The sequence below is a fragment of the Homo sapiens genome, chromosome 8, assembly GCF_000001405.40.
Source record: "Homo sapiens chromosome 8, GRCh38.p14 Primary Assembly".
Taxonomy (NCBI): Eukaryota; Metazoa; Chordata; class Mammalia; order Primates; family Hominidae; genus Homo; species Homo sapiens.
The window spans coordinates 12,063,619-12,073,332 of NC_000008.11; the positions used below are offsets into that span (position 1 = coordinate 12,063,619).

At 36.9% G+C, this 9,714-nt stretch overlaps 1 protein-coding gene across 1 annotated transcript; it reads right to left on the bottom strand.

Annotated features, from left to right (window-relative positions):
- Positions 1-770: 770 nt before the first annotated feature.
- Positions 771-8,129, bottom strand: DEFB130B (defensin beta 130B). The gene is made up of 2 exons (NM_001195257.1): positions 8,072-8,129; positions 771-952 (listed from the first exon to the last, which is right to left on the bottom strand). The coding sequence occupies exons 1-2, from the start codon at positions 8,127-8,129 to the stop codon at positions 771-773; spliced, it is 240 nt and encodes a 79-aa protein (NP_001182186.1).
- Positions 8,130-9,714: the final 1,585 nt, after the last annotated feature.

Here is a 9,714-nt window from a genome sequence, read left to right on the forward strand (position 1 = left end):
ATACAAACCCTTGAATTTTGTTTGTGAGGTAATTTGGCCTCATTCTAGATGTTTTCCATCTTTGTGACACTCATGCCATGTCATACTCCTGGTATCCTCCCTGCCCTTTAATTTTCTTGGCCCCAGGAAATGGACTTATCTGATGGAGAGTTTGGAAAGAACCAGGCATGATAAGTTAGCCACTCTTCAGCTCTACAGCTCCTCCTAGTGAGCCTACTTGTAGAAAGCGGGTCTTCTTTTCTACTTCTCTAGGGGCAGGGGGCAGCAGAGGGGAGATCTGCTTCAAGTGCTGGTATGACTGGAATGGTCATGCGCCTAATTCTCAGGTGCAATGTTAGCAAGGTCACATGATTAGCAGGCTTTAACCCATATTATCTAAGTAGGTCTCTATTAGTAATGAAAATGATATTTGTTCAGAACTGGATGAGGAAGCAGACTGACATTGCACTTCAAATAATCAAACACTGCCTACTGATACTTCATATTCTTATTGTTTTACGTATTTAATATTTTTATCTTTTTTTTCTTAGAAACATTTTTTTATAAGTACCTATAGGGTATGAGATTCTTCTGTTATTTATTTTATTCCTATAGTTCTTAAGAGGCTTGCATGTGCATCAAGAAGAAATGCTCCAGGAGGCAGTCAGTACACATGGGATTAGGACAACATTTATTTCCAGTCAAGGAAGAATAAGGAATTGGGTTAAGCAGGAGTCTGCAAAATTTATCCATCCATTCTGGAGTTCAAAGGGCTTAACGTTTGCTCCCACCTAAGGAGATTTTCCTTTGGGAACCGGAGTTGGATAGGGCTCAAGTATCCACCACCTTCTACAACATTTTTTTCCTTCATTACATATACCAATGGTATCATCTAGTGTGCTGCATAGTTTGTCTCTGCACACCCCTTTCAAAGCAATACACTGTTTTTGTCCTGGAATAACGCCAGTCTTTCCTACACAGGAAGAAATTTAAGAACATCATTAATTCACTATTGAAAATATACATAAAACAATAAACCCCCAGAAGAATGGCTTTGGGATAGGAAAGAAAACATTGTCTATATGAAAGGATCAGACCCGCAGACAGAAACAGCGCCTTTTTATGGGAAGGGAGCTAAGATTGTAGATTATATACACCTTGGAGGAAATAGGCCAATTTCTAAAATCCTTTAAAGGGATTGTCCTCCCCTATTGCAGTACATTTTGAAATGTGTGGGACCATTTGTTCTTGCCACCATGCCTAGGGAAGGTGTCTTTGGTATTTAGCAGATAGCACAGCATTGCTAAATTTTTCACCTAAGGAATTGTCTTGCACCAAACACCAACAATGCCACCACTAAGAAACAGTTTCAAAGGAAGTATGTGTCCCTCCAAATACCCATCTGTGCATACATCATCCCTATCAAATGGTTCATGTGCATATCTTCATCTCCTTTCATAGAAAGCCTATCAATCCTTGAGATTTTATCTAAACTAATTTCCTCATTTCAGAACTATGTAAGAAATACCTTTCCTATGTTGCTCAATACCTCATAGATAGATGGAGGAATGGATAGATAGATAGATAGATAGATAGATAGATAGACAGACAGACACCTGCAGAGAATTACTCACAGAGCTAAAAGGTATTTTCCCTTAAGTGTATCCACATGTTCTCTTAATTCATCTGGTTGTGGAGAAGCATATGGCTAAGGGTGTGCTCTAATTCAGTAGTTTTCTCTATGCTTACTATCCTTTCTCTTGCCTTCTCAGCACAACCATAGTTTATTTTTCCTACTGTATATCACTGCAGATGTTATATAAGAAAAACACTTTTGCTGATGTTCATTAACAGACATTAGTTCCTGAACCATCCTGTTAACACACCTGGATCTTATTTTGTTTTTACTGGCCTCTAATATACTACCTCTGGCTTCTTTGCTTCTGTAGATGAGTAACAGTTTGGTGGCCGTTTCAGCTCTCAATCTTTTTGTTGTTGTTTGTTATTGTTTTGTATTTAAACTAGGCTATCATTATTGTTTCTCTACTCTGTAGAAATAGATCCATAGCCAGAAAAACCAATGCAACCTTTTGGAACTGAGTGCTCATAACCTATGCAAGATTGTCTTCCACTCTTGTTAGAAGCTTCAACCTAGTGCAGTCTGGTATTATACTCTACTATCAGACTAGCAGTTCATAAACTCAGGGTTTCTGTGCACAAGAGAATATCATGATGGGGGAGTTGGGCAATATCTTGTAATATTCTCTCTTTTTTCCAAGACTATTGTGGAAGAGAAAGTGGCTGACTTTCAGAGAGAGACCTGAAGTCTCCCCAGCCAGTTGTGGAAGGTGCTGGTTCAACTGCATTGTCTACACAGAACACAGGCTTCATGCTCAGAAGCATAGCAGACCTGTTGCTAGCTGTTGGTCTTTTCCCTGATAACTTCATCCATACATTTAACATCTGGCAACACTGTCAGACTTTTTAAATGAAGCTAAAATCAGGGGGTGTTAGTACTGGGAAAGATATAGTCAGAGGCAGAGTATGGTATCAAGGAGGCCTATGTGTGTGAACTTAGAGGCATCCCATGCAAAATGAGGTGGAATGTGAATCTTCAGCTGAAGCCAAAAGAGTGAACTTCCTCTCAGCAGGATGCATAACCCACTATACGGTAAAGTTCAGCCTACTGACACAGCATGTAGCCTAAGACAGTGCCAATTCCTCTATTTGGGAGATGTCCCTTGCTTCACTCAAAAGGAGTGGAACAATTCATCCTACCAGTGATGTGCTTCTTGCTACATGGGAAGCTTAATTTAAGGAGGTATGCTTTGAGCATGAAGCCAAAGAATTATAATCTCCCTTTTTACCGATGACTGTGACATATCGTCATGCCGAGGGCACTAGTTTAAGTCAAAAAGATAAGATTAAATTACTTAATTCAGATTCAGATTCATATTCTTCATTCATGAGGAAGGAAATTTCTTCCCAGATATTCACATTTATTTTCAGACTTACTGACAGAAGTATATACATATAGAGCAAAAGAAGAGAGGCACTCTCTAATACACTTTAGAATTTATTTGACATTAATATGTTATAATGGTTATATCACACGGCAGTTGAGGAAAGGATGCATATTTAATAAGTGCCTTTGGAAAAAGAAACAATTTAGATGTTCACTTCATATTATATCACAACATTAATTTCTGTGGATGCAGTGAGAAGGACTTAGAATCACACTGGAAAATACCCTTAATAGCGCATTCATCTACTTTCTAAAAGGATATAACTTTCTTAGCATTAGAACTCATTGAGTCAGTAACTTTTAAGTTTTTTTTTTTTTTGGATGATGTAGAGGATTTAAATGGAACAGGATCTGCCTGGAACTTTATCAATCAAAAAATAGAAGTGCAGTTTCCTTTTCTCTACATAATGTGAGTTCAGGCTGTCTTCTGCTCCTGTCCAATGTCGTGTATTTAGATATTATGTTATTCTCCACAGTCAGTGTAAGAAGAATGCTATAATTTTCTTAATTCTCAGAGAGCTAATGCAGCAATCCAAGATTTATGCCATTCTAACCTCTTTAGACTCATATTCCCAGCATATATATGTATGTTTATGTGTACATATAAATCTATATGAACTATTCCAATTTTTTATAGGATACCATGGATTCTTTTTGGATTAAATATAAGGATATATAAAAACATATATTCAAGTAGCTATAACTTAATATTCATCAGACATTAAGCTGATAAACTAATATTTCAGATTAGGTAGTTTCTTTGGAGAAATTTTTTCATGAAAACAATAACTTTTTTTACTTAATTGGATTTTTTTGGTGTAAAAATGTCTTTAACAAAACTCTTCATGATCTAGCCACTCAATTTTTCTTAAAAGAAATTTTATGACATAAAAGTTATATAGGAGTTATAAAATTTCTAAGATTATCAGAATGCTTCTAGACACCTGATAAATTCTACATGCCCAACAGTCACAGCAGAGATTAAGATCAGAATTTTTGGAGTGCAGTGTTATTAAATTGTATAGACAGCTCAGCAATTAACTATTCAGTACTAAGAGACCATACAAAACTGATATTGAAATTCCTATTTTTCGACCTGAGTGTTCTGGGTCCCACTTCATAATGTGTCCAAGAACATCTCAATATGCACAACTAAGGTATTTTGACCTTTATGTATGGTTTTAATATCCTCTGATCACAAGAAACCTGGCTATTCAAAAGTGATTCCCTCCTGTGCAGAATTATAGGACCTTTGTTTAATCCTTCTTCCTGGTATAGCTGATTTGGAAGGAAGAAAGAAGGGCTGATATTTCTATTCCTCCAGGAAGATGTCACGGCTTGAAAGGCAGGCCTCTGAAGGATTCTTGTCGTATTTGTGGGGAGATTAACTCAGCTTTCAACCTCAAATAACCTCTTGTTCTTCATCTTTTATTTTATTGTGGTCGTAACACTTAAAGTGAGATCTACATTCTTAAGAAATTTTTAAGTGCTATAGATATAATATTGTACAGTTGATATTTAGAGCTTATTCATCTAATAAAACTGAAAACTTTTACTCATTAAATAGCAACTCCCTATTTCCTCCTCCCTCCCCAGTCCCTGGAAAGCACCATTCTGCTACCTGTTTCCATGAGTTTGACTATTTTAGGTACCTCATATAAGTGCAATCATGCACTATTTGTCTTCTGTGACTGGCTTATTTCATTTAGCATAATGTCCTCCAGGTTCATCCATGTTGTCACATATGGTAGAAAACCTCCTTAGTTTCCACAATATATAATTAGAAGATTCTGAGAAAAAAGTCTGGCAGAAATCAGAGTTATCGTTTTTGTATGCATATCTCCACCTATGGATTGATTAAAAACAACATTGACCCAGATTAAAGAGATTTGCTTTTAGCTGCGATGTTGCTACTACCTATGTGATCGGAGGAAAATCACATTCTTTATCTGTACATGGGTTTTATTATCTAAAATAAAAACAACTGCCACTAAATTTTATTTTAATTTGAAATTATTACCATCATATAATTTCATATCACATGTCACTACAAGTGTATCTGACCTCAATGGTATCTTCTGACCAAAGCTGAGAACCAAATGAGAATTGCATAAGCTCCTTCAGAAGGAGGCAATCATATGTGAGGTGGATCTCAACATGTCCACAGATTAGGTAAAGATCAAACAATTGAGTAGCTTTGATTGCACTTCAAAGAATCTCAGAACTGGAACAAAACAAGAGTGCCCCCTCTCACCATCCTAATCAACATAGTACTGGAAATACGAGCCAGAGCAATCAGCCTTTTGAAATAAAAGGCATCCGAATAGGAAAAGAAGAAATCAAATTACCTCATTTTATAGATGATATTATTCTACACTTAAGAAACTCTAAAGATTCTTTGAAAGCCTCCTGGACCTCATAGACAACTTTAGTAAAGTTTCAGGATGCAACATCAATGTACAAGATCAGTAGCCTTTCTATACACCAACAATGTTCAACCCGAGAGCCAGGTCAAGAATGCAATCCCATTTACAACAGCCACACAAAAAATTAAATACCCATGAATACATTTAACCAAGGAGGTGAAAGATCTCTACAAGTGACACTACAAATCACTACTGAAAGCAATCACAGGTAACACAAATAGAAAAATATTCCCTGCTGTGGATTGCAAGAACCAATATTGTGAAAATGGCCATACTGCCCAAAGCAATTTATAGATTCAGTGCTATTCCTATCAAACTACCAATGACATTTTTCACAGAATAGAAAAAACTATTCTAAAACTCATATGAAACCATAAAAGAACTCAGACAACCAAAATAATCCTAAGCAAAAAGAGCAACACTGGAGGCATCATCCTACTTGCCTCCAAATTATACTATAAGGCCACAGTAACTAAAATGGCATGGGACTGGTACAAAAGCAGACACATGAACCACTTGAACAGAATAGAGAACCCAGAAATAAAGCTGCACATTTATAACCATCTGCTCTTTGACACAGTTGACAAAAATAAACAACGGGAAAAGGACTCCCTGTTCAATAAATGGTGCTGGGATAGCTGGCCAGCCACAAGCAGAAGAATAAAACTGGATGCCTATCTTTCACCATATACAAAAAATTAACTCATGACGAATTAAATATTTAAATGTAAGACCTCAAACTATAAGACTCCTAGAAGAAAATCTAAGAAACACCATTGTAGATATTGGCCTTGGGGAATAATTTATGACTAAGTACTCAAAAGCAATTGCAACAAAAACAAAAGTTGACAAGTAGAGCCGAATTAAACTAAAGAGCTTCTGCAGAGAAAAAGAAACTATTAACAGGGTAAACAGAAAACAACAGAATGGGAGAAAATATCTGCTAACTATGCATCTGACAAAAATTTAATATCCGGAATCTACAGGGAATTTAAATCAACAAGCAAAAAATAAATAAAGTGGGGAAAAGACATGAAAAACATGAACAGACTCTTCTCAAAAAAAGATAATAGAAGCAGCCAGCAAACATGAAAAGTAGCTCAACACCACTAATCACTAGAGCAATGCAAATCAAAACCACAATGAGAACTATCTTACACCAGTGAGAATGGCTATTATTAAAAAGTTAAAAAAATAACAGAAACGCAGATGAGGCTGTGGAGAAAAGGAGTGCTTATACACTGTTGGTGGGAATGTAACAGTCTGAAGATTTCTCAAAGAACTTAAAACAGAGCTACCATTCCACCCAGCAATTCCTACTGGGTATATCGTCCAAAAGAAAACAAATAATTCTACCCAAAACATACCTGCACTCCTATGTTCATCCCAGAACTACTCACAATAGTAAAGACAAAGAATCAACCCAGGTGCTCATCAATGGTGGACTGGATAAAGAAAATGTGGTACATATAGACCATGGAATACTATGAAGCCATAAAAAGGAACAAAATCATATACTTTGTAGCAACATGGATGAGCTGGAGGACTGCAAATTAATGCAGAAATAGAAAACCAAATACTGCATGTTCTCACTTGTAAGTGGGAGCTAAACACTGGATACTCATGGACATAAAGATGGGACATGGGAGACTACTAGAGTGGGGAGGGAGGAAAACAAGGATTAAAAAACTATTTGGTACTATGCTCACTACATGAGTGATGGGATTACCATCATGCCCCAAACCTCACATCACAAAATATACCAACATAACAAACATGCACATGTACCCCCTGAATCTACAATATAAGTTGAAATTATTTAAAAAATAATCTCAGAGATAAAGGGAGGAAGAGATCTTTGCTCATTGACCACACACTTTATTTTGGGGGCTATGAACATCCCACTATTAACAGTGGAGATAATAATTTTATCATATCTTATCAGGATCTGGATGAAACACCCTGAAGATGTTTGATTCTATATTCCCTTTTCAGTTTGATTCTACATTTCGATATTTAAACTTCTGAATCGTGGACCCTAAGGATGCAACTATGAGTCTTGAAGGGTTTTCTGTACTATTTGTCTTATGCTTAAAATTTTGCCATTAAAGCTTCATGCCACTGTTTATTCTTTTCCCAATTCCCTTGTTCCCAAATTTCTATTGGTCTTTTATAATTTGATGCAAAATTTTCTTGTTGAACTCTGTCTTATTTGCCTAACTGCTACCCTTCACAAATATTCCTCACCAATAGACTCAACATCACTTCCATCCACTACCGAGTTGGAATCAAGAACTATCATCTTCACTCTCCTTTTTGGAGAGTGAAGCCTTGATGATAGCTGTTTGCTTTATTTACTAACCTTTAAATCACATATCAGAGCTTCTATACCCCTAACTCTATTTCGGCCCCATTTTCTAATTATCGAGCTCTTGAACCCCCATTTTCTGTTGAAAGAACTCCTTGTCCTGCTTCTCAATTGTGGCCTCATTAGTACCAAAGAAGAGAAACATGGTGGATTTCTGAATTCCTAAGGCTGTGAATTGGGGTCTGAGTTCGGATGGCCACAGCATAATTATCTCAGTAGACCTCTTCCGGTCTAGGCGTCCCAATAGACTTCTACAATCATTCACCATCTTACCTTTTGGTATTAAAGTCACAAAGAGGAGGAGAACAGAAATAAGGGAATGGAGTTTCATGGTTGAGTGCCCAATAGAGAGGTGAGTGATCAGGGCTGGTGGAACACAGGGGTTTTATTTAATTCTGGGGGCCTGAGGTTCCTCTTGCTCAGTGAAGCTTAACAGAAAGGACATAAAACAGCTTCCGTTGGAATACTTCCAAACTCGAAGGTCTCTAAATTTTGTGACAAATTAACCTAATTGTAGGAAACCAGATGGCTAACCCTTTCCTTTTCCTATGGCTCTCAATTTCACCAGAGGTGAATTAATACCTGTAGTTAATTTTCTTTTTTGAATGGGGCTAAGAAGTAAAGCCATGTGGGTACAGAACATCCTTACTGCAAAAGTCCTAGGGCTTGTAAGGAAACATTTCCATAATACACTGTTTTTTTTTGTTTTGTTTTGTTTTGTTTTTGTTTTTGTTGTTGTTGTTTTTTTGCAAGAGGGACAAGAGTATTCTCTAAGGTCCATTTATGAAAAGCTATGTTTTTCTTATTTTTTTTTTTTTAACTAAGTTAGTCCTTAAAAGAAAGGCTGTCACTTGTGTGAGGTGTTCTTTTTTTTTTTTTTGAGACGGAGTCTCGCTCTGTCGCCCAGGTTGCAGGCTGGAGTGCCGTGGCGCGATCTCGGCTCACTCAAGCTCCACCTCCCAGGTTCACGCCATTCTCCTACCTCAGCCTCCCCAGTAGCTGGAACTACAGGCGCCCACCACCACGCCCGGCTAATTTTTTGTATTTTTAGTAGAGACGGGGTTTCACCGTGTTAGCCAGGATGGTCTCCATCTCCTGACCTCGTGATCCGCCCACCTCGGCCTCCCAAAGTGCTGGGATTACAAGGCGTGAGCCGCTGCGCCCGGCCCTGAGGTGTTCTTAATCACATCCGAAAGGTGGATACATTTAATTCACATTGAAAACAAATATTTTTTCATCGTTATTGATCCTTTGTATAATTATCTCATACAACAAGACAAGTAAGATCAGGAGAGTTGAAAGATAAAAGACAGAGTAAAGTGCGCAGCTCCTCTCAAAAGACTCTGAGCCTACAGCTTAAAGAGATTCCCCTAACCTTTCACCCTAACCCACCACATAGCAACAAAATATTGAAAGCTTAAGAGCATGCTTTAATCAAGAATCAATTGACCAACATCCAACTTACCCAAAACAAATTTACCTTCTGTTCAATTCCTTATTGGCATATTTCCTTGAATTGATATTTTTTTAAATTTGTAAACTTTCATATATGGTGTCAGTCTTTTCTGAAAAATTATATATGCATATATATATAACTTTTATATAGCTTTTATTTGACTACTTTTGATCATTTTCATGTTAGTTGATGTATTTATGAGCATTTGCTAATTTATTTCCTCATTAATAATTTATGCCTTAATAATTTTAGGTTTGAATAAATGTTCCAAAAGACTAATATTCAAAAGATTTTTTGAAAAGTAGAACAAAGCCAGACAATTTAGACTACCTTGTTTCAAGACAAAGCTACAATAACGAAGACACTGTGATACTGAAATAAGAAGAGACATATAGTTCAACAGAACATAATAGAGAGTCAAGGATACGACCATCATATGAATGGTCTGCATATGGGTAAG